A 24914-nucleotide genomic window follows, 5' to 3' on the forward strand; every position below is an offset into this window, starting at 1 on the left:
CAATCTACTGGGACATCCCATCCCTCCACAAGAGACTTGGGGGAGCATGCCTCAGAAATGTCTTCCTGAGTTTTGAGGAAGCTGGGATATTTATCTACGAAGACCAGCCCTCTAAGCTAGAGCATGCTCTCAAACACAGACACACAGGAAGTCATCAGCATGTGTGGGAACTTTGTGAAGATCTTTGGAGATGAGGGCGGGAGGGGGTCTGACAACATCAGTACCTCCTAACTGGTTGTTTTGCCTCCAGGCTTGCTCTCCCCACCAACCACTACTCCCTAAGTAGTCTTTCTAAAATGCCAAATAGCTCAAGCTCCTCACCTGCTTAAAATCTGTCAGGGGTTCAGAATAAAATCCAAATGGCTTGATCTTGACATGTTAATGATCTGCGCCATCTCATTCCCAGCTACTCTTTTAGCTGCTTCCCAGTACTCAATGCAGACTCCAGGCACACTGTGCTAGCTGTCGGGTCTCAGAGCCACACTCGAGGTCCCCGCACACAGCGCTCCCTCTGCCTAAGGTCTGCTCATAAATATTTAAGAAACATTTATTTGATTTTCTAGGACATTCCAGGCATTGTGCTAGACACAGTGAATACAATAAAGAATAAGTTACAGTTTTAGTCTTCAAGGAGCTCACTCTCTAAAGGGAGGAAACAGACATACAAAAAGAAATACACTATTCGTTGAGTAAAACCCCATATTAGAGAAAATGATGCCTAAGTGGAGACTTGATGGATTGACTTGATGCAGAGTTTACCCTGCAGACAGGAGGAAACGGGCTGGTGTGTACAGAGAAGCTTCTCAAATTTCTGAATGGAGAAAGTGGGGTGTCAGGAAGAAGAGGTGAGGGAGAAGCTGGCCAAGTCGTCAGGGGTTCCTTTGGCTTCTAGGCAGCTTGAGCATTATTCTTCTCATCAAGACACAGTGAGGGCCCTTTTTTCATCCTACCAGGAGGTTTTCCAGATTCACTGTGGGCATTATGTCCTCTAAGAAGCCTACCCTAATTCTTGTCCCTCCTTAGACACTCATCATCTGTGCTCTTCCTGCACTCTAGGAAACCCCTCATGATGGGTTGTGTTTTAAGGTGTATCCTCCCCACGGCCTGCCAGCCCCTTTGAAGAAAGGGCTGCTCTTTCTCACCTCTGTATCTCAGTGCCTGGCCCAGTGCACAGTCCCTGCAGCTCAGAAACATCTGGACCCCTGAGTGCCTTTAAGGAGGCCAGAGGGGAAAGACTGACAGATGCTGCTCCTCAGTTCCCTCCAAGCCAGTGGCACACGTAAGTGCTCGGCACAGGGTCTTTCTGAGCGCTCGAAGTTGCTAGAGACGCTAGACTTCAGGTATAGGTTTTCAACAGCTGAAACAGAGGCTGTGGCAATTTCCTAAAATTGGTTGCTTTTACTACAAATAACAGTGATTGTGCTCTGCTAATAGCTGTGCTCCACAATTCTTAAACTTAGCCTTCCACTTTTCCTTCTCTCCTTCCTTTCCTTCCTTCCTTCTTACCACTGCCTGCAATTCTCAGACAAGGGCTTTGACATGCAGAGTGGTGGGGAGAGAGGTGCTCTTTAAGGTGATGCAAACACTCTTTTCATTTCTGCTGTGGCTGGACTCATAGTTGAGTTCTCTGCTTGACATTTTGAGGGTAACAATAGCATTGGAATGGGTAAGGGCTGGGCAGTCTGAGCTGAGTCTTCTGTGCCTCAGGAGGCTCAATTTCTGGAAGGGTGGGAGCCGGAGTGGAGCAATAAGGGTGAAAACATCTTTTGGAACAGTCTGTTTTCATTGCCTCTTCTTCCAGGGTGACAGCAGGTGGCAAGGAGAGGGCCACTGATCACTGTGCCCCCACTCCAGACCCTAAGTTTTAAAGGATAAGTATTAAACTCTTCTCGTCCTCTTGGAGCAGAAGAGCCAAATCCAGCCGGCTCTGCAGCTTCTGGCAGGTTAAAAAGCATGCATTTCCACATGACTTGCTGATTTACACCACATTTTGACATGTTTTAAAAACCTCCCTGCAGTTCCTTTTGCTGGCTCCCCTGAACACTGGTGTTGTGGAGCTCTGAGCAGAGCTCCAGGTTTATTTTCTGGCGTCTGCTGTCTATGTGCCGCCTTTGTTTTGGGCTCTCCCCAGCACATTGCCCCGTTGTCCTTGAGGGAGGAAGCCAGCCAGTCTCTGGCTTCCTTTGTAACTTCCCAGTTCCTCCACTCACAGCCTCTGCTCATCTGCTCACCCACCCCAACCACTTTGTTTTAAGTGCTGCGGGATTGAATTTCTCATCTTCAAATGCAAACAACCATTTGGCTTCGTGTCCATTACACAGGCACCTCTGGGGGCACATGCAGGCACTGTGGCCCCGAAAAACTCTTCAGAGGTGAGCGGCTTTCAGGATGAGAGGGCCAACAATGGCTCATCTCCTAAAGACCTCGATAAACATAATCAGTAGCCCCAGAAAACACAACAGCTGTCCCAAGCCTATCCCCTTTGCACCTATCTCAGAAAAGGCAACATGCAGAGTGGTCAGGAGTTCAAGTCCTCAGGGCCCTACTCTGAAGCTGTGACCCTGACAGGTCACTTTAGCGCTCAGCTTCCCTTTCCTCATCTGTAAAATGGGAATAGAAACTGAATCTGCTTCATGGGGCCTTGTAAGTATTACATAAGCTGTCATATGCAAAATGTCCATCACATAGTTCACCGCCCCAGGCATCCTAGAAACTATTAAGTCACGATAAGGAGGTTGCTACTGTCCTGGGACCTGGGGAGCTCGGCTGTCCAGTCCGAAAGGGCCTTCTCGCCCTCGAGACCCCTTCAAGTCCCTTTCTCTCCGGGCCCGGGTCCCAGAGTCCCCTTGTGCTTGCTCCTGAGGGTGACCTGCCCGTGCCCCGGGGCGAGCACAGGTGCGGCCCTGGCCACAATGCGGGCGTGGCGAGCCGACACCCGGGGAGGCCAAGGGCGCCTCGAGGGAGGGAGGGAGGAGGCTGACCCGGGCGTCCCGAAGGACCCGCCCGGCCCCGGACTCCGGGCGGCAGCCGGCCTCGCGCCCCGCCCCCGCCCCGGGAGCCCCGCCCAGTCCCGTCGCGCCGCGCCGCCCCACCGCCCGGGTTGGCTGCCCTGGAGGCCACGCGCGGCGATTTGCCACGCGCCGCGTCACCGGGCCGCTCCCGGCCTGGGCTCCCGGGGGCTGGTCAGGGAGGTGGCGGCGGCTGAGCGGCGGAGCGGGGGCGGCAGGGCGCGACGCCGCCGGGCCGCCCCGCCCTGGGAGGCGCCCGGGCCCTCATCAAGTGACCAGTATCCCTTCCAGGGGAACACGGTCCTTCAGAGGAAAGCGAGCTCCAACCCGCGGCCCCGGCGCCAAGCCGCCGTCATCTTCTTCCTGTGCCAGGTGATCGTCTCCTCACCCACCCGGAAAAACATAGTCCGCCCCCACGTCCTTGTGGAATAGCGCCCGCTTCCAAGCACCGTGACTCTCTTTGCCCTACCCTTGTCTTTCCCATTCCAATTACTCTAGAACCCACCGAGAGGATAATTCAGTCCTGAAAAGAAACTGATGGGGAGAAGCGAGGAAGGGAACCCAGGAGGGAGGGGAGGCAGGGCTGCGGAGGGACACCGAGGCGGCGGAGGTAGTGCGCACGCGCAGCACAGAACGAGTTCCGGTCTGGCCGAGGCTTGTCTCCTAAAAATAGCCCCGGTGTGGGGATCCGTGCGCGGATGTCCCGGCGAGTCCCGGGCTGAAAGAGGCGGCTCCGGGCGGCGCGAAGCGCTGGTGGCGGGCCCGGGCTGCGGCGTGTGCGCGCCCGCCAGCTGCTCCGGAGATACGGTGAGGGCCGCGGGCAGCGGGGCTCAGTCCGCGACGCCGGTAGTGCTGGAGGGGGGCGGCGTCTCGCTTAGGGGACCGAGTAGGGGTTGGGGTGGAGGTGCTGGGGCGGGGGACGGCGCGGCCGAGAGGGTCGCCCGGGGGGCTCCGGGGACCCCTGGACGAGGCCGTGTCCGGCTTGGAGGGGGCCAGGGTCGCGTTCGCGCATTGGCGGGGCGGGTAGGGTGCTGGGAGGCGGGTAGGGTGCTGGGAGGCGGCGAGGGGTGGTCGGGTCGGGGTCGGCGCTGAGGAGCTAGGCGCCCGGGGAGGTGGGGGCGGGGTGCCCTGAGGGCGGGCCGGTGGGGCTGGATGGGGCTCGGCTGGGCGGGCCGAGGGGAGCTCAGTCGCGCGGGCTGGTGGCGAGCAGCCTCCCCGGGCGCGCACCCCTTGGGGCCGGGGGGCGGTGGTGGACGTCGCCTCCTTGAAAGTTGAAGGAGTTCTCGGGAGACCCCGGAGAAGGTGCGCTCTGAGGGCCCTTTCCTTCCCCTTTTCCCTCCAAGCCCGGGGGTCTCCCCGAAGGGATTAGCCCCAAGTGCGGGGGGCCTTCTGCCCTGTTGGACTTGAAGAAGTTCCCCCACTTCTGCTTTGGGAGAAGATTGGTCTAACGGGGTGGAACGCTTAGGTACGAATTCTGTGAGTGTGTAGATGTCAGTGGCGGGGTCGGTGTTTGGGGCGGACACCTGCGGTTGCGGACGCCCGATCGTGCGGGGAGACGTCGCGGGGACAGAGGGGCTGCACAGGGAACCGCTGGCTGAACCCCTGCCATCCGGCTAGATCCCAGCTCGCAGAAAATATTTTTTGTGTTAGAAACTTTGCTTTTTGGCTCGATTTCATGCCTTTGAGCTGTGAGGGTTAAAGTAAGTGAGATAGTGCAAACAAGTTTGGAAAAGGTGAGCAATCCTGAATAAGAAAACAGTTTTTCTTTAAAAGTGTAACTATAGAATTGTTGCTCACATCCGAAATAGATTCCGGAGCTGTGAAGCGAGCCTCCTGTTATGGTCCAGCAGGGAACCGTGTGTAGCTTGAATATAACATAGTGTTAACCTGCGTTTTAGTTTACAGTGAGATTGGGATTCCAATAAATGCCCTATTAGAAAGGCCTGCTGTGATGTGTTAACAATAGCATATGTATTTTTAAACAAACATTGTCTTAACATTTTTTCGGGTTTTTAGCACAGTATGTTTCCCATGTGTCTTGTATCATCTATTACTATATGAAGAGGAGGTTCTCTAAAGCTGTAATTAGGTGTACATTACCCAAGAGTACTTTCCCTTTAAGAATCCAGCTGTGTTGTTTTGGCAACTGCTAAGTACTCTAGTTGTCAGTTTTAGAATCTGTGTTACCTTGGCAGTTCTTGAACAGTCTGTGGAAAAGGTAAACAAAATAGTTCTTTTTTAAACATACAAAAATGACATTTCTTTTAATATGAATTTAGGAAGTGAGGATAAAAATGACTGCATTGTGCCTTTATGGCTTTTGTATGTACTGTGTGTGTGTGTGTGTGTGTGTGTGTGTGTGTGTGTATTTTTGGAGAGCTCAGTCTCCATTTCTTTTTCTGTAAATTACAACTTTTGTTTTAGGGAATCAAGAGTTTTCACTAAAGCAGATGCTGATTTAGATTAGTTTATATTAAATGTCATAAACACACACCTGTATATCATAAAACATTAAGATCAGTATTTGTTATATATGGTGACACATTGACAATAGAATCACCTTTATTTTAATTCTCAGTGAGCATTGTTGCAAAAAGTTGTGATAATGGTGTTACAATAATCAAAAGTACTCTGAAGAGCTAAAACTGGTGATTTGAATGTTTGTAGACTCTAGATTAACAGTTTTGTTGAAGAGTGTGGTTCCAGTAGCTACTTAGTGAAAACAGTGACTGTGAAGTAATGGTGACCTCTCTAAACGCAATTATTTGCTTACCTATTTCCTTTAATTCACACTATGGTTATATATAAAATTGTGGTTTGATTTCATATTAGAACAAAAGTGTTAAAATTACACTTTACTTGCCTTCAAAAGTTTTTTAAAAAATTAAATTCTGGGGGGTGTTCAGTGGAAGGAAAATAGCTTATTGACACCCAGAAATAATTGTAATGTCACCATGTTGAATTATGGTTTGAGAATAATTTCCTTCTGTATTCTTAGAGTTTGTTTTCATATGGGTATGTGTGACAAGGATTTTTTTTTGTAAATGCAGTTGGAAATAATCTCTTAAAAAGGTTGAGTTGTTTCAAATGGTGATGTTATGTTTTTCAAAGCAATTTCGTTACAATTTGCCTTTTCCATCATGCATTGTGGGTTAATATTAATTTTATTAATATTCCAGCAATAGCAGTGTCATCCATTAATTGGCTACCAAAAAGAGGAATATTGAATTATATTCTGAGGGTGGTTAAGAAATTATGGAAATGTTTATTAGAATATGATTTTGGAGTTTGAAATAGTCTAGCTAAATCTTTTCAGTAGATTTGTGTTCTGATTTAGGAGGAAGAAGCCATGAACAAATTTGTTACTGAAAAATAGCATGCTTGTCAGTTTGGAAAACCATCTTTTTTCCTCCCTTTGCTGCTTTTAGTCTGGCAAGAAGAATGTAGTGTAATATACGATGATGATGGGCCTGGATTTGGGGGCATTTCTAATTTCACATATTCTGTGTTGTCATCAGACCATACCCCGGTTACTCATGGTACATATGAATGTTTCAAAGTCTAGCTGAAGTTTTCTTTTATGCGATGACACTATGAGAAAACCATTTGTGGACCAAAAATGATCACTATTTCTTTTTTCTAGATAAGAAAGAAAATCTGTGGATTCTTAGTAAATGGAGAAGTGAGTGCCTTCTCTCCTAATGTTTAAATAATAAGTGTAAATATGGAAATCAGATCACCCTTTAAGCTGGATAACCTCGTGCAAGAGAATGCTTTTAACATATGCTGATTTGCAAGCCCCAGTAAAGGAAGGCTGCTTGACTCTGTAGTCAGATCTTGATTCAGATCCAGCTCCACTGCTGACAGAGTTGAGATATCTCCTGTAAAATGAGATAGAATTACACTACCTGCCCCGTGTTGGAATTAAATGAGATAGCGAGTGTAAAAGTTCTAACACACTGCGTGAAGCTTCATGTGCGAAAATGCGTATTGCCTGATCTCCCTGCATCCCTTCTGGCTTTTGTTTCTTCTTTCCTCTGAAGATTATGTAGGTACCCTGCCCAGTACCCATACGTTTAGTGTTTGTGACCAAAAGGATTTCGTATAATGTATCAATAGAGAATGCTTAATGTGTTTGTTTTGGATAAAATATCCCAGCATCTTAAATTCATTGTCAGATTATACATAAAACGCTTAATTGGCTGTTTTAAAACATTAGAATTTTGATCTTCAACCATAGTTTGTTTCTAATCTCCATAATCTCCCCAAATATTTTTCTAAAGATTCAAGTTAAATATAAATAGTTTCCCAATCTTCAGTGAATTCTGTCTTTTAGGGATTGACTGTGGGAGTGGTCTCTAAGATATAGTATTTGAAATTTAAAGTTAGAAGAATACTTCTGTAATCTACCTTGAATAGGTATTTTAAAATAGCTTAATTTCTGAAGAAAAGTTTTTAAATATTTTAATATTGAAGGTTATTTTAATATTTTAAAGTAACTTTAGTTAATCTGTAATTTTTAAAATACTTTGATTTGGTGTGAAATTAATGATTTTCTCGTGTATAGTTTATCTGTGTGCCTTATAATAAATGGACCTTGTGTCCAGTTTATTATAATTAAGAGTGTAAATCCATTTGTTAATTAGTAAATCTTACACATAGCACACGATATAGGTTGGTACTTATTTAATAAGTACTAAATTTTTATATAGATGCTTTATACTTTAATAATATTTATATTTACAGAATTTAATTGATATTTACTGAATTTAATATTTTAATTATTAATTATCTTAGTCGAGATGAAATCATAAGCATATGAGTTAAAAATATTAGCTCCTTTGTGAGGTGGAATACCATATTTAAACATTGGTGTATGAAGGCAGGTAATTTACTTCATCATTATTTTAACAAGTGATGTTGATAAAAGCCAGAGGAACAAACATGGGTGAAAAACATATTAATTAATCAAACTTCTAGTAAATACCAACCCGGGCATGTCTTTTTATGGTTGTCTTGAATTAATACTAATTTTACTTCCTTACACAAAAATACAAACTTCAAAAACAAAATAAACAAGAAAACATGAAAACATAAAAAGGAAACAAAGCAAAAACAAAACAAAAACCTTTAATATATGGACTTAAAAAAATTCTCACCATTATTAAAATTATATGCTTGAGAAAGGTTTTCAGTAGTGGTCAGTAAGTTTATACTGCATGAGCTGGACATTTTTACTTTGTTACTTGCGTGACCAGCAGCATGCATGTGCAGGTTGACGTGGATTCATTTGAGGCATGATTTGTGACACTTGGAACAAAGGGCTGCTTCCCATTCGACCTGGTAAAAGAAATTGTAACTTTTGGGCTTAATAAAACAAGCGGCTCTTGCATTGACTAATACTATATTTGCCTGTTTCACCTCTCGTCCTCATCCTTAGCTGTCCATCTTCTACATAGAAATTGGAATTATATTTCTAAAATTCAGATCTATATGTCATTTCTTCTTAAAGAAAAAAAAAAAAACAACTTTTGAAGGCGTATGAGATCAATAGAGTGGCAGTAATGTAAGGGATAGAAGATTGGCCTGTAAAATCAGACTTCCTGGCTGGGCGCGGTGGCTCATGCCTGTAATTCCAGAACTTTGGGAGGTGGAGGCGGGCAGATCACCTGAGGTCGGGAGTTTGAGACCAACCTGGCCAACGTGGTGAAACCCCGTTTCCACTAAAAATACAAAAATTAGCCGGGCATAGTGGCTCACACCTGTTATCCCGCCACTCTGGAGGCTTAGGCACGAGAATCGCTTGAACCCAGGAGGCAGAGGTTGCAGTGAGCCGAGATCGTGCCACTGCACTCCAGCCTGGGTGATAGAATGAGACTCCATCTCCAAAAAAAAAAAAACAACAACAACAACAACAGACTTCCCATCCTAAGTTAAAATACCCACTGTTCTTACTGTGTTCTTATTTAGTTACTTGCACTTTGTGTTCTTCAGCAAGTTCTTATGATTTTTGAGGCTTAGTGTATAAAATAGTAATTATAACATTATTTCATACAGTTTTTGAGAGGATTAAATGAGGTGTGTATTATAAAGTGCAGTGCCTGGTATATAACCTGCATTAATTTTCCTCCTACCATTACTATCGTTACTACTACTGCTATTGCTGTTAGTCATGGCTCACTTTATAATATGATTCCATCGTGTCTTTTGAGGCTCATTTTCAGCCATCACCTTTCAGTTTCTATGCCCTAGTCAAAGCCAGCTATTAGCGCTAATCTGAAAAGGCCATATGTTTTCATACTGATGACTACTACTTTTATTTTCCCAGCCCAGACTTCTCTTGAGTTTGATATTCACTTGGAAGTCTAGTTGGAATCTCAAGTATAATATAAATGATGTGGGTAAAATATAGCTATTTTTCCCTCTTCCCCCAACCTTCTTCCTACCCCTAAACCCTGGTGTCTCTGCTGGCATTCCCCATATCCATAAATGGCAGTACCCAAGCCAAAAACTTAAGATATTATTCTTGATTCTTTCCATTTCTCTTAAGTCCAATCCATCCCCACGTCCTGTTGCACCTTCACAATTTGCCTTGAGCAGTCCACTGCTCTTAGTCTTCGTTGCCACCTCTTTATTTGAAGCCATCATTCTCTTGCATGAAGTACTGCAGTAATTTTCTAAGTGGGCTGCTTCTTTTTCTTCTTGCTCCATAGAAGTTTTTTTTTTTTTTTTTTTCTTCACACAGCAGCCTGAGAATTATTTTAAGAGCCTATATTGGATCATATCATTTCTCTGCTTAAAATCTTCTGGTGACTTCCCATTCCTCTCAAAATCAAGTCCTCCATTCTGTGGCCTAAATGGCCCTGAATGAGCTTTCTCCTTCTCATCATTCTTCCCCTCATTCATCACATGTCAGCCACGAAGGCCTCTCAGTGTTTCTTAAACCCTCTGCACCCTTTTTTCTTCTAGGGCCTTTTGCACTTTCTGTACTCCCTCCTTGGGATATTCTTCAAATGTCTGGCTTGGCTAAACACTTTGGAGTTTGGCCCAAATCTCACTTCTCACTCAGAGGCCTAATCTGACCATCCTATTTAATATTGCAGTCTGTCATTTTACTCTCTTACACAGATTATTTCCTTCAAGACAATTGTAATTTGTGTATACCTGGTTTGTTTAGTTATTGCTTATTTATGGTATTTGTCCATTACCTGAATGTAAACTCCATAAAGGCAGAGGCCTTGTTCATCTTACTCTTAGCTGTATCCCCAGGCATTAGCATGCCGCCTGGCATTTGGAAGATAGTAAATATTTGATGCTTCTGTATCTTTGTTCCTGTTTTTTGCCAATGATTGGAATGCTGTCTTGCACACATAGTTATAGTTATTGAACTACTTATCCTTTAAGTCTTAGCTCAGATGTCATCTGTGATACCAGTTTTAATCTCCTAGACAAAAGTTTTTTGCTCTTGCTCTTGTGTGCTTCTAAAGCCCATGATACATGCACTATTTGTAGAGTAAATCCCATGTTAGGTATTTAGAATATTATTTGATTATTTGAATATAATTGATGTCACTGTCTTCTATTAGGCTGAATTGCTATGTCAAGGACCAGCTGGCTCTTTTGTGTGCTCAGTATCTACCAACCAACCTATTATAGTAGATATAGTGAATTCTCAGTAAATGTTGAATTGAGTAGAAGTTGTCCTAATCGGCCGGGCGCGGTGGCTCACGCCTGTAATCCCAGCACTTTGGGAGGCCGAGGCGGGCGATTCACGAGGTCAGGAGATCGAGACCATCCTGGCTAACACAGTGAAACCCCATCTCTACTAAAAATACAAAAAATTAGCCGGGCGTGGTGGTGGGCACCAGTAGTCCCAGCTATGCGGGAGGCTGAGGCAGGAGAATGGCGTGAACCCTGGGAGGCGGAGCCTGCAGTGAGCCAAGATCGCGCCACTGCACTCCAGCCTGGGCAACAGCGAGACTCCGTCTCAAAAAAAAAAAAAAAAAAAAAGAAGTTGTCCTAATCAACGGAAATAACCAACCACAGACCAGTTTTCCCAAATCACACTTTAAAAATCATAAAGGTACTTTCCAAATTATAATCTTACTTTATGTGTTTTCTATTAACATACGGTCATTATTCTAAGGGCAGGAATTTGAGAGCTGTGGAGCACAAGGGGCATTTCCTCAGATTCTATTTTGCTTTCTTGCTGGGCACTGAGTAGCCATCTTGTCTGAGGGAAGTATTTCCAGTTTGAAATGCATATCTCTGTTGTTCATTACTAACCAACATCCCTTCTGGCCCTATTACTTCCCTCTAGCTTATCCAACTAATTTCATATGTTTATAGAAAAGCTCCAAGTTGAGGGGGGAACCTTATGGAAATTAACACAGTATACATGAAATACATTACTAATTCAGCTGTATTGCTAATGAAAATACATCAAAGAACTTTTGTAGCCAACATTAGGAACCCAGTCACCATTTGTAATAGTGAAAGTCATTCCCCATTCTAAATAGCTGACTTACAAATAGGCTTTTGGAACATATCCCATTTGTAAATTGGGGATTCCTTTGGCAAAATGTTTATTTTGATACTGAAAACCTTTTTATTAATGGTGTTAAACCTAATTGATGGTATGGATTACGAAGAGAAAGGGAGAGAAGAATCTAGGAGTTAAGGTTTTGTTTTTGTTTTCTTTCAGAAATGGCTTAATTTCCACAAAGTACAGTTTTAGGGTTGACAGATTTTTTTTTTTAAATTTATTTCGGAAAAAAATCAAACCTAGAGAAAAGTTACAAGAATAGTACAATGAACTCCCATTTATATCTGCCGCAGATTCACCAGTTGTTACCATGTACCACATTTGCTTTGTCGTTCTTGCTCTCTTTTTATATTTGCAGAGTGGGTACAAAGTCTGGAAACAGAGATTATTATTTTATTTACAGATTGAAACTCCTTGATTACATCTTCTGCCTAGAGCAGCTATTACCAGCCTTTTTGGCACCAGGGACCAGTTTCGTGGAAGACAATTTTTCCATGAATGGTGGGGGGAGGGGATGGTTTCAAAATGATTCAAGCACATTACATTTATTGTACACTTTATTTTCCATTATTATTACATTGTAATATGTGATGAAATACTTATACAACTCACCATAATGTAGAATCAGTGGGAGCCCAGAGCTTGTTTTCCTGCTACTAGAGGGTCCCATCTTGGGGTGATGGGAGACAGTGACTGATGATCTCATCAGGCATTAGATTCTCATAAGGAGTGCACAACCTAGATCCTTTGCATGTGTGGTTCACAGTGGGGTTTGTGCTTCTGTGATAATTAAGTGTTGCCGTTGATCTGACAGGAGGTGGAGCTCAGGTGGTAATGCAAGCGACGGGGAGCGGCTGTAAATACAGATGAAGGTTCACTCACTGGCATGCCGCTCATCTCTTGCTGTGTGGCCCCATTCCTAACAGGCCATGGACTGGTACTGATCTATGGCCCCGGGGTGGGGACCTCTGGTCTAGAATATGTCAAAGATGCAAGTTTATTTAGTTAAAGTCAGTGGCAAAACATCACAGGTATGATTAAATTCAGGTTATATACAGGGATAGATGGAAATGCTATGTTAATGCACTGTGTACATTTCTAACAAGGAAACCTGACATGTTATTATCATTAACATATCAGGCATTGTTATATAATATCAAGAATCCACTGTGTAGATCTTTTTCCTCATCTCCTTTTTTTCTCTTTTTTGTTCTCTTCCTATTAAAATTATTTTTATTGTTGAACCATTTGAGAGGAGGTTGCACACATCAAGTTCCCTTACCCCTAAATACTTCAACTGATATCTCCTAATAAGGGCATATTCTTACATTAGTATGGGGGATTCAAGAAATTTAATATTGATCTTATTGTTTAATGTACAGTTCATGTTGAAATTTTTCCCATAGTGTCAATAATATCCTTTAATATTTTTCCCATTCCAATATTATACAATGCATTTTAATTATATCCCTTGTATTGTTTAATCTGAAACAGTTCTTCAGCCTTTTTAATTTTTGGGTTTTGTAGAGTACAGACCCTTTGTTTTGTAGGATGTCCATCAGTTTGGATTTGTCCAGGTGCTTCTTTGTAATTAGATTCAGGTTTTGCATTTTTGGCAAAAATCCCATGTAAGTGATGGTATATCCTCAGTGCATCACATCATGAGGCAGTACGGTGTCATTTTGACCATGTTGTTGATGTTTATTTGGACCACTTAGTTAAGGTTTTACCTGCTAGTTTTCTCTATTACAAAAGGTATCATAGTCCCCTTTGTTATTACTGAATAATCTGTTGGAGACACTTGGAGACTGAAAATTTCCTCCTCCAAACGCTTACAGAATGGTTTTAGCATTCATTGATTACTCTTGCCTGAATCACTTACTACACAGAATTGCAAAATAGTGTTTTTCTAACCATCGTTCCCTCTCCATTTATTAGTGGGCATTCTAGTCTGTTTTAAAGAAGACCTTGTCCTATTCATTTTGATATCAATATGATATAATGGATTCTTTTTTATTAAGTAGGTTGTTTTCTATTACCTGCCAGTATTCATTTTGATGTTCCAAATTAACCCACATTTGGTTAGTGGAAACTTCTTCACATTAACTCATTGGTTGTTTTAACATGCCCCCATCATTTGTTGAGCACTTTCTTGCATTCGGGACCAGTAAGATATTCCAGGCTCATCTTATGGTCATCTCCTGCTGTTGTCCTGGAATCAGTCATTACATTATTTCAAGTTTTCCTTTATTGGGTAAGAGTATTTAGAAACCAGAAACCAGGCAGCAGGTATGCTATTGATATTGGAGTTTCATTGTTTTAGAGCCTTTTGGCTTATTAACCTGAGAAATTTTGAATTTATGCTGATTCCTCGGGCAGTAGTTTGTAATTTATCTTTATAGTCCCAAAACTCCTAGGAGAAACTGTTTTCTTTGAAAGTGTTAACAATTTAAATAACTACTTTCACCGAATTCTTAATAATTCTACAGTGGTTGGGTCTTGTTTTCCAAAACATTTTAAAACAGGAGTGTGAATCCTGTTTTATATCTTTTACTTACTCAGTGAGTATGTTCATAGTGTCTTGAGCGTGGTTGATTTGTCTCGAACAAGGTTGTTGTTTATAATTATAATAATGACCCAACATTATTTTTATTACTTTCATATGATAATGAACTATTCCTGTATTTGTTATAATATTTTAGTTAATTTTGTGGAAACCTTTCTTTTAAGTGAAGTGTTGATTTTATATATTTTGTTTTTAATAACTGTTATTCTAGAAGAAACATAAACTTTAGTTTTTTTGTTTTTTTTTTTTTGAGACGGAATCTTACTCTGTCACCCAGGCTGGAGTACAGTGGCGCAATCTTGGCTCACTGCAAGCTCCGCCTCCCAGGTTCACGCCATTCTCCTGCCTCAGCCTCCTGAGTAGCTGGGACTACAGGCGCCTGCCACCGCGCCCGGCTAATTTTTTTTCTTTGTATTTTTTAGTAGAGACGGGGTTTCACCCTGTTAGCTAGGATGGTCTTGATCTCCTGACCTCATGATCCACCCACCTCGGCCTCCCAAAGTGCTGGGATTACAGGCGTGAGCCACCACGCCTGGCCATAAACTTTAGTTTTTAACTTAAAAATTTTAAAAGCCTAATTCCTGAAATTAAAGTATATAATTAATGAACATCAAAATGCCTAATGTTGGCGTTGCTGTTATACTGTTTCGTTCATTAGCAAGTAAAATAACCTTTCTGGGCATCACTTTAATTATACAATGATATGATAGCTAGATCCTTTTTAACTCTGTGTTACACACTGTATATGTAATTAATGTTAAATTGTTTATGAAAGTGAAATTAAGTGCTATAAAGCATAGTGGAAGGAATATTATGCTTCTGATCCAGGAGTTATTGAGTTCAAATTCTTTGTAACTATTGTGTTACTTTGGCTTATATATTTTGTTTTTAATAACTATTATTCTAGAAGAAACATAAAGATTTATTTCACAGTTTGAAATAACTGGTAACAACTGGTAACTTCATTACTTTATTCAGTCCACTGGGCTAGGTGCTGCAAGGCTTGGCTTTCACGGTCAGGGGGGAGTATGGACATAGACGATTTGTGCTTGATTTTGATGTGTAATAGATGTGTACGATGCAGAGTACACATCTGCAAGGGTAATTAACCTAGTTTCAGGAATGCCAGGAAAATAAGCTTTAATGTTGGACAGCTATATAACCATAATGTAAATGCCAAAACCAGGAAAGTAATACTGGTATGATACTGTTTACCTTTTCACTATGAAAACCTTCTTTTGAATTTAATCAGTTTTTCTTCTAATGGTGTTTATCTGTTCTAAGTTCTAAGTTTCAATCCATAATCCCACATTGCATTTATTTGTTGTGTTTCTTTAGTCTCCTGAAATCTGTGATATTAACTCATTTTTTTTGTTGTCTTTATGATCTTGATGCTTTTTTGAAGAGTACTGGTCGTTACTTTGTAGAATGTCTTTCAATTTGGGTTTCTCTGATGCTTTCTTATGATTAATGTGGGATTATACATTTTTGGCAATATACCGAAGTAATGGTATCATATCAGGAGGTATGTTTATATCAGGGGCTACAGGATGTCACTGTCTTATTACTAATGACGTTAATCTTGTTCACTTAATTAAGGTAATATCTGCTGATCTCTCCTCTGTAAAGTCATAGTGTAGTTGATAAATATTTTGGGGGAGATACTTTGAGATTATGCTAATTTCTGTTTTTTCTTCCAACTTTCATCCATTCACTTCAGCATTCATTGCTGGAACTTATCTGTGATACCTACTACTGTAGTATTAACCTCATGGTGATTTTGTGATTTCCTTGTTCCTTTCTCATTTATTAAAATTCTTCAGTGAAGAAGTGTCCCTTCTCCCTCGTTTATTTATTCATTCATTTATATCAGTATGGACTTAGAGGTTTTTATTTTCTAGGTTGCAATCTGATGCTGTTGCTTATGTTACTGCTCAGATCGTTCTGCTTTGGCATTGAGAGCTCTGTCCGGTTGGTTCCTTGTCCTTTTTACATTCTCCCTTCAGCTTGAAAGCTCTTCTTCACTTTCTGGTACTGAAAAGTTTCTGAGAAACTTCAGGCTCATCTTGCATTTTACCAGCTCCAACCCTGTAATCATCTTCTTTCCCACAAAGCCCTGGCTCCTTGTTTTGGGGGATAGCATTTAGAAACCGAGATCTGGGTACTAGGACTGCCGCTCATTGCTACTGGGGAGTCTTTTTCCTTCTCAGCAGACAGAGCTAAGAAATACGTGTGTATACGAACCCACACATTTACTCACATCCACAGTCAATTCTGCTATAACGCAGCATATTTATTCCCCAAAATCACTATGTATGCATAATCATGCAATGAAAGCCACAGGGTTCGTGTGATCAATGAAGTTAGAGAAATAGCATTCAAAAACTTTATCACTGACACAGTAAAAGAAAGGATTGGAACTTAAACCTGATTAAAACAGTGGCATGGTTTTAGACATGTTAAATCATTAAGGAATATATAAGTACATGATAAATGTGTTACTTTACCATGAAAAAGGCATGAAGTTTGCTTATGTGAGTGTCCTAAGGTGTGTGGCTTTTGAGTTACTGTGAAATGGTGGAAGGAGAGTTGTCAGATGAAACCTAACACCAGATGTGGATAGATGGGGCTCATAACACATGACCTGTGGTAGCTCATTTTCATTTGAATCACTTCTTTCTTGGGTGCCTTGCAATTTAGTCTTCATTTCTGTACTAATGTTGTATTTTTTCCCATTTCTTGTCTGAATTTAGCCACCTTTTAAATTGCTCTTTGTATTTTGTCCATTTAGTTTTTAGATTTCTGATTCACGGTAGTTTTCATATCATCAAATGCTTGTTTGAATGTATTTAATTCTGTTTAGAGTATTGGCTTATAGTTTTTTTTTCTGCTTTAGGGTTTTTTTTTTCGGTCAGTGGAGGGTGGGGCAGGGTTCCTTGCTGGATATGTACCACATTCTCTTTCTTAATTTTCTGGACTTTATTTTTCTTTTGTCCTTTTTTTTGAGACAGAGTCTCACTCTGTCACCCAGGCTGGAATGCAGTGGCGTGATCTCAGCTCAGTGCAACCTCTGCCTCCCAGTTTCAAGCGATTCTTGTGCTTCAGCCTCCCAAGTAGCTGGGATTACAGGCACGTGCCACCATGCCTGGCTAATTTTTTGTATTTTTAGTAGAGACGGGGTTTTGCCATGTTGGCCAGCCTGGTCTCGGACTCCCGGCCTCAAGTGATCCACTTGCCTCAACCTCCCAAAGTGCTGGGATTACAGGCGTGAGTCACTGTGCCCAGCCTTGTTCATTTTTATAGTATTGAGTGTTTTATAGTATTCCTAGTTTATTGATTCCCTCTTTTGTCAGTATAGAGTAGTCCTGTTACTTCAGTGATTTTCATTTGTTTCAATGGTTGGAGAAGAGTTGTGGGACTTGCAATTTTATGAGTCTTTTAAGGTCTTGTAGGACCTTAACTATTCCCTTTTCTTTTTCCTTTTACCTTACAGTTACTGAAGAACAGTTTCCTCTCCCTTTTGCCCATTTTTGCCTGCTGCCAGAAGCTGTGTGTTTCGGTGCGCCTCTTTATGTGGCCCTTTAAATCAAGAGAATTTTGAAATTCCTTCCCTGTAGTCTGTGTTCTAATCTCTCCAGACACTTCTCCACTATTTTCAGATTTTAGGGTGGGTTTAATATTTCTGATGATCTTTCCAGATGATCCTTAGGTCCCATTGCTAGCCTCTTGCCACAAAGCTTTGGGGTTTCGGATGGATGAGAGTTTGGGGGATCAGTCAAAGAGTTGGGGTGAATGACAGTTTGAGGGATCAATGGCTGGGATTTGGTGACTTCCCCCGCCCCCCTCACAGTTTTGCATTGTCAACATTCTTTGTCTTCAGGCTGTGCTGTGTGGTTTGGAATAGAATTTCCTTTTCCTTTCTTGTTTTTTCACATGGTTTAGGGATAGTATTTGAGTGCATAGATACACTTGCACCACTGTGGCAAGTCTTTACTTTGAGAGGGGTGAGGAAAACCCATTGACTTATCCTGCCCGTGCTAATAAAGCTTTTAGTTATGAAAAGACATAGGCAGTCAACTTCCACTGGTAAGCTAGAGTCTCCGGAAGGTATTGTGGAGGAGGAGAAATAAACTACATTTAAATGCCCTTACTTCATTCTGATAACTTGCAAATACTGGTTCTGGGTTATTGCAAGTCTTACTGCTTTTTCTGAAAAGCAAGGTTATTCAGAGGTTTGTGTCTATAATATAAATAGGAAATGGCTTGGTTTTATTATATGAAGGAGTTATAGGCCTGTATTTGACCAAGGGCCTCCTTTGGTACTTTTTATTCCAATGTCAATCTAACATAAGATGTTTTCTGAAAAGGTAACTTCTAAACTTGTGAATTGGTTTGGTAGATGTTAGCTTTTTGAAAATTAAACTTCATTACCTCTTTATATATTTATTCTACTTTTGGTTTTCTTGGTTTTATTTTATGGTTTTGACAGTTGTTCCTTTCTTCCAATAAATGGTAGGTATGATGTTATTCCTTGACTCTACACTTGTTATTGTGTTTAGTAAGATGGCACTAAATCTGTTAGGTAGCTTAATTAGTTCTCTTTTATGCCTTTTATCTATTTTTTTAACATGAGAGATTTAACATAAAGTTGGAATTGTGTAGAAGTTCTTTATGCTTGGTTTTCCTCTATAAATTAGTTGCTTAAAATATTTATTACTTGTGAACATTTCTTTCCTTAGAGTTAGTAAGTAGTCTGTCAGTATTTTCTGTTGGAGTAAGAAATAGACTTAACTTCATTAGTCATTATACATTTCTTTTTGTAAAAATATCAACCAGAATTAAAGGGCATATTGGCTTTTAACATCAGAATTCCATCATAATATAAATTAAAATCTTTTGCTATTAATGACACAGCTTTGGAGTTATCCACATGGCTTTCAAATGTTTAGAGGCAGTCGGTCTCTATGCCCATGTGTCTGTCATTGGGACTTCATTTATGAGCTTTCTTTTTTTTTTTTCATAGTTTCCACAAGTCTTAATGACTTCTCAGACTCATTATACCTTCATTTCCTCATTTGAGTGATCATTTGCCAAAACTCTTTCTTTTTATTGACCTCCCGTGTTTTTCTTTCAACTGGTGAATATGGATCATCCCCATACAATGGCCTAGGTTCTGCTTCCCCCAAACCCTTCCTCTTTTGGACTCTGTCCCTTATCTGTTTCTCACTGTTTTAGTGATTATTTCTATATTGTTGATTCTGAAATGGAAACATATATAAGATATAGCTCTTTGCTTCTAGGAGGTAATGGTTTAGGCAGGGTAAAATCCCATTAATTACTAAGTGATGTGTAAATCTTACACATGATAATGGATTAGGGAGTTCAGGAGAGGAAGAGTTTGGAGGTGTTCAGGGAATGCTTCACGGAAGGATTGACATTTGAACTGGATATCAAGTTTTATTGTCAGAGTTGTGGAAAAAATACACCACATAGAACAGTTTGAGCAAAAGAGCCAAAACAGAAAAAGAAGAGCTGCTTGTTGGACACAGTTTGGCTAGATTGGAGGGTTTTTCAGAAAAAGAGATGGTAAAGTGGGAAAGAGAGCTCGAGACCAGTTTTTAATGCCGCTGGAATGTTCAACAGTTTAAATTTTGTTCTTCAGGTAAAAGAAAAAAAAGAGCCATTGACAGTTTGTAATCGTGGAAGTGACCAAAGCCTTCTTTAATATGCCCATATAAGATAATGAAGATAATGTATATGTCCTTTCTTATTATTAACATTAATAATGATTAATAAAGCTTGGTGCCTTAAAGAATAATGCTGAAGATACTTTTTTAGAAAGCATAGTGATAGGCTCATTCTTTGATTGTTTGAAGGGAATTGGTAGGAATACACAGCTTTCGAGTGGAAGATGGGGGTAAAGATTGTCCTTTCGTCATTCTTCCTTGTATCCCGCTTTCTTCTTGATTTCCTTTCCCAGGCCAGACTGTGCTGTCCTTGAAAACTGGATTCCTTCTCATTAGTAGTTTTTCTCTTTTAAAATCCGATAGTATTTTTTCTGCCTTACTGTATTTTTCATATTTGACCTTATACTAAGGTAATAGATGTATACACACTGCATTGAAGGCTTTTCTGCTTGTCTTATTTCTTCTTGTATTCTCTTGATGTAGCATCTCAGTGAAAATGTGGTATGTAAATGAATCCTTTACATTGCTGTCTTACAAATGACTCAGGATTTTACGCTTTGCAAAGTCGCTATTCATCTAGCATTTGGACTGAGCTGAGCTTTCGACATATGGCTTTAAAGTCATCTCTGTAGCTCTGCTGGTCTAGATAAGTAGTTGTCAGCCTTTTTCTTCTGTGAGATACAGTAGGTAAAATTTTGACATGCATGATGCACTCCCTTGACTTTTATAGCAGAGAGGTCTAGTATTACAGTAATTTATAATTGCCACAACTATCCTGGGATATGTTGTAGATAGAACAGTTACTAGGTAATGTGCAATTCTTAGGGCAGTAGCTATAAATCACCCCAGTTCTCTTCCACGGAAGAAGGGATATCATAGTGTAAGCAAAGGGGATGTTATGAGGATAGTCTGAAATAAACTCATTTTTCTTTTAAGATTCAAACTAATACTTTAGGAGTGTCACGTTACTTGTAAGAGAACTCCCAAGTTGTTATGTTCATCTGTCAAGTTAGCTTTAAGACCTTTTGGAATTTTTATTTTCCGTTAGTTCAGGTGCTTTTTGTTCGTTTTAAATAGATAGAACCCTATTTCGATATAGATTAGATTGGTAGTTGGTATTATACTGCTGGATTCTATTTCATTTCTCTGAGCTTTAGAGTTTGCATTCCTCAAATGTCCTCTGAGGCTTCTTCCAGTTCAGAACTTTAGGAAGTTGGTGAATATCATGAATAGAGCATCCAAACTTTTTCTACATTCTGGTTAAAAGCCTTATTAATATGGAAACCTGTTTGATAGACTTCGACACTTTACTAGATTGTTTAACCAAAGTCATGCATATTTGGCCATTATGTGAAGTACAAAAGATTACATTTTAAAGTGTTCCTATTTTTAAAGTTTGTGTTTGTGTGTGCTTCTTGTTACAGGTGTTTGGGTGGTTGAGGACTGTAAAAGTGATGGATTCCAGTCACCATATGCCTGAGAAGGAATACTGGGAATATTAGCTTGTACCATGATACTGAAGAGTAGGGCAAATAGAAACTTAGCATTTGGGAAGTCACATCCTCAATCTGAAGAATTAAAATTCTAATGAATTTGTAATTGATAATATGTATTAATAAATATTAGCCTTAATATTTATTACAGGCTAATATTAAGTTTAATGTGGAAACTTTCAGTATGGTTACTGATTATAGATTTGAGGTGGTAGTAGTGATAACTTATTTGGGAAAATACAATAGGTACAGTCATGAGTCACTTAATGACAGGGATATGTTCTGAGAAATGCATCATTAGCCAATTTTGTTACTTTGTGAACATCATAGAGTGCACAGTATTTACACAAACTTAGATGGCACAGTCTACTACACACCTAGGCTATATTTGGTATAGCCTATTGCTCCTAGTCTACAAACCTTTACAGCATGTTACTCTGCTGAATAGTGTAGGCATTTGTAACATAGTAGTGCGTATTCGTGTATCTAAACATATCTAAACGTGGAAAGGGTACAGTAAAAATATGGTATAAAAGATAAAAAATGGTAGACTTAATATAGCACAGCTCCATTATAATCTTATGTGACCACCGTCATTTATGTGGTTCATTACTGACTGAAATGTTGCTATGCAATGACTGGGGAATGTCAGCCAATATGTGGATCACTATGGAGAAGATGTTAGATACCCCAAGGCAGTGATACAGAAAATCTGAAGACACTCTTAGGTTTTTTATTGTAAGAACAGAAGCTAGAAATGAACACATAGATTCATGTGAAAACTTGTGTACAAATGCTCATAGCAGCATTAGTCATAATAGGTAAAAAGTTGAAATCACCCAAATGACCATCAGTTGATGAAAGAATACATAATAGGTTGTATTTCCACACAAGGGAATATTATTCAGCAATAAAAAGGAATGAAGTGTAGATATGTGCTGCAACAGGGATGAATCTTGAAAACATGTTAAGTGAAAGAAGCCAGCCACAAAAGACCACATATTGTGTAATTCCATTTGTATGAAATTTCTGGAATAGGCAAATGTATAGAGACAGAAAGTAGGTGTCCCACTGCCTGAGACTGAGCCATAGGGGGCTGGGGTAGGCATAGGGAATGGGGAGTGAGTCCTAATTAGTACTGGGGTTCTTTTAAAGGGTGATGAAAATGTTATGGAATTAGATAGTGGTGAGGGTTGCACATACCTGAGGGTATCAAAACATTCAAGTGTATGCTTTAAATGGGTGAATTGTATGTAAATTATATCTCAATAAAGCTACTTTCTTTTTTATTTTTTCAGAAAAGAACGGAAGCTGTTTGAACAGATGTTTTGGGCCTTTGGGTAGTTGAGTGGATGTAGATGGAGGTGGAAGGGCATGGGGGGGATAATGGGTATTTCTTGGCATTACTGTGTTATCACATTGTCACACAAATGCTACCTTCTCCATCCACTAGCTAAGAATGTAATAAGTTGTGTTTTAGTGGAGATTGTATAAAAACCTATCTTTTTAACCTACCTAGCACTTGGGCTGGAATTGTGCTTTATTCTAGTTGACAGGATTAATCTTACCATTCTCTTATCTGTATTTTTTAATATTAAATTCAGATGCTTTCCTATTTTCAGGGTTAAGGTTATACAAAATTGTGTTCTGCCCATCTGTCTATCCTACACCCTCCTTTGCTGTTTGTTCATCCCTATTCAAGTTTGTGTCATTTTTCTTTTTTACCTCCTGTAATTGGAACAATCTCGTTTCGTGAGTGTGTATAATCACTTTCTTCCTTAAATGCTTGCTTGTGTGAAATTTTACTGACTTAAAGATATTGTTTCCTGTGAATTAGTATCTATTTATATGTTTTGAAATAAATCTGTTCTTTTAAGACCTTATTAGTTTTTTTAAAAAATTATAGTATTCAGCTATTTAATGATTCTAAATATATTCCAAAACTTCTAATTTGGCTTTTACTGTAATATTTGCCTTTCTGATGTCTTGGACGCAGTGACGACTTTTCAATAAGAATGTCATTAAGAAATTAGTCGTGTGTACCACAGTAAATACTTGGTACTTAAGGAGTTTTTAGTGTATGCCAGTCACTGTGCTGAGCACATTACATGCTTACTTAATTCTCACAACTGAACTTACGAGGTATAGATATTACACCATTTATAGATGAGGAAACAGACTCAAACAGTAATGCTGATTGTTCTTGGTGTTAACTTTGTGAAATCACAAAAATCTTTTAAATTATAGCTTTCCAGTGTTGAGGAGTGGCTTTCATAATGTATGAATTGTGGATCTTTTTGTGTTCTTCGGTGGTATCTTAAAAATTTGTAGGTTTTTTTCCTAAATGGAATCATGCAATAGGTATTCTCTAGTGTCTGGCTTTTGTCCCTCAGCAAAATGTTTTCGTGATTCATCTGTGTTTGTATCTGTCAGTAGTTTGTTCCATTTTTCTGTTGACTAGTGTTCCTTTTATGTTTAAACTACAATTTTGCTGTTTGCCTTTCATGGACTTTTGGTAGTATTATGAATAAAGTTGCTATGAAGATTTGAGTACATGCCTTTGTATGGACATATGCTTTCATTTTTCTTGGGTGAATATTATACCAAAGAGTGGGATTTCTGGGTCACATGGTATATGTATCTTTTATTTCATAAGAAACTGTGCAACTGTTTTCCAAAGTAGTTGTATGATTTTACAGTCCCATCAGTAGTAAATGAGAGTTCCAGTTTCTCCATATCTTCACCAACACTTTGCATTGTGAGCCTTTTTAAGTTGAGACATTTTAGTGGATATTTACTTGTATATCCATATCGTTTTAATCTCCACTTCTTTGATGACTAATGATTCTAAATGCTTTTCATTTACTGAGTGGCTCTTCATACATCTTTTTAAGTTTAATGTTCACATCTTTTGCCCATTTTTAATAGGGTTATTTGCCTTCTTATTACTCAGCTGTAAGACATCTTTATATATTCTACATAGAAGTCTTTTTTTCATTTTCTCCATTATGTTGTGAATATTTTTATCCCTTAATGGTATCTTTCAAAGAGCAGAAGGTTTCAATTTTGATGAAGTGCTGTTTGTCAGTTTTCTCCCTTATGGATACCTGCTTTTTTGGTGTCCTGTCTGATAAATGTTTGCCTTACATGGGGCAGTGGGATTTTTGTCTCAAACTATAAAACTTTGAGAAGTTTTATAGTTTAGCTTTTATTTATAAGTCTACAGTTCATTTTGAGTTAACTTCTGTGAATGTTATGAGGTAATGTCAAGGTTCAAGTATCATTTGTTGATAAGGTTTTTCTTTTCCCCTTGAATTACCTTGACATCTTTGTTGAAGATCAAATGACCGTATTTGTGTAGATTTATTTCTGGATTCTCTGTTATGTTCCATTGATGTATGTATTTTGTTATTACAAGAGCACACTGTATTAAATAGTCTTAAAATCAGGTAGTGTAAATCCTTCAACTTTTTTTTTTTTAAATTATACTTTAAGTTCTGGGGTACATGTGCAGAACGTGGTGGTTTGTTACATAGGTATACATATGCCATGGTGGTTTGCTGCACCCATCAACCCATCATCTGCATTAGGTATTTCTCATAATGCTATCCCTCC

The 24914-nt window shown here is 39.9% G+C and overlaps 1 protein-coding gene across 78 annotated transcripts in view, besides 7 other annotated features; it reads left to right on the forward strand.

Moving 5' to 3' along the window:
* Positions 2866-3305: a silencer, noted in NCBI's record as "silent region_6870". NCBI's record gives its function as "represses an Ori minimal core promoter by ATAC-STARR-seq in GM12878 lymphoblastoid cells {active_cell/tissue: GM12878}" and the evidence as "EXISTENCE:reporter gene assay evidence [ECO:0000049][PMID:35858748]".
* Positions 2866-3992: a biological region, named in NCBI's record as "H3K27ac hESC enhancer GRCh37_chr15:100105511-100106486".
* Positions 3017-3992: an enhancer, noted in NCBI's record as "H3K27ac hESC enhancer chr15:100105511-100106486 (GRCh37/hg19 assembly coordinates)". NCBI's record gives its function as "activates a minimal SCP1, AML or CMV promoter by ChIP-STARR-seq in primed H9 embryonic stem cells {active_cell/tissue: H9 hESC(primed)}" and the evidence as "EXISTENCE:reporter gene assay evidence [ECO:0000049][PMID:30033119]".
* The window catches only part of MEF2A (myocyte enhancer factor 2A), a 151072-nt gene continuing 129285 nt past the window's right edge, over positions 3128-24914 (forward strand). For 52 of the 78 annotated variants that reach the window (NM_001400059.1, NM_001352615.4, NM_001400063.1 and 49 more), the window contains exon 1: positions 3695-3815. The gene's annotated coding sequence lies outside the window, so the exon portion shown is untranslated. Of the gene's footprint in view, positions 3381-3694; positions 3816-4193; positions 4311-6651; positions 6691-24914 lie in introns of those variants that run through there. The other 26 variants (NM_001400034.1, NM_001400054.1, XM_011521573.3 and 23 more) reach the window with 5 other exon arrangements.
* Positions 3993-4966: an enhancer, noted in NCBI's record as "H3K27ac hESC enhancer chr15:100106487-100107460 (GRCh37/hg19 assembly coordinates)". NCBI's record gives its function as "activates a minimal SCP1, AML or CMV promoter by ChIP-STARR-seq in naive H9 embryonic stem cells {active_cell/tissue: H9 hESC(naive)}" and the evidence as "EXISTENCE:reporter gene assay evidence [ECO:0000049][PMID:30033119]".
* Positions 4146-4195: a silencer, noted in NCBI's record as "silent region_6871". NCBI's record gives its function as "represses an Ori minimal core promoter by ATAC-STARR-seq in GM12878 lymphoblastoid cells {active_cell/tissue: GM12878}" and the evidence as "EXISTENCE:reporter gene assay evidence [ECO:0000049][PMID:35858748]".
* Positions 16838-17338: an enhancer, noted in NCBI's record as "H3K27ac hESC enhancer chr15:100119332-100119832 (GRCh37/hg19 assembly coordinates)". NCBI's record gives its function as "activates a minimal SCP1, AML or CMV promoter by ChIP-STARR-seq in naive H9 embryonic stem cells {active_cell/tissue: H9 hESC(naive)}" and the evidence as "EXISTENCE:reporter gene assay evidence [ECO:0000049][PMID:30033119]".
* Positions 17339-17839: an enhancer, noted in NCBI's record as "H3K27ac hESC enhancer chr15:100119833-100120333 (GRCh37/hg19 assembly coordinates)". NCBI's record gives its function as "activates a minimal SCP1, AML or CMV promoter by ChIP-STARR-seq in naive H9 embryonic stem cells {active_cell/tissue: H9 hESC(naive)}" and the evidence as "EXISTENCE:reporter gene assay evidence [ECO:0000049][PMID:30033119]".

Source organism: Homo sapiens, chromosome 15, assembly GCF_000001405.40.
Source record: "Homo sapiens chromosome 15, GRCh38.p14 Primary Assembly".
In the NCBI taxonomy this organism is placed as follows: domain Eukaryota; kingdom Metazoa; phylum Chordata; class Mammalia; order Primates; family Hominidae; genus Homo; species Homo sapiens.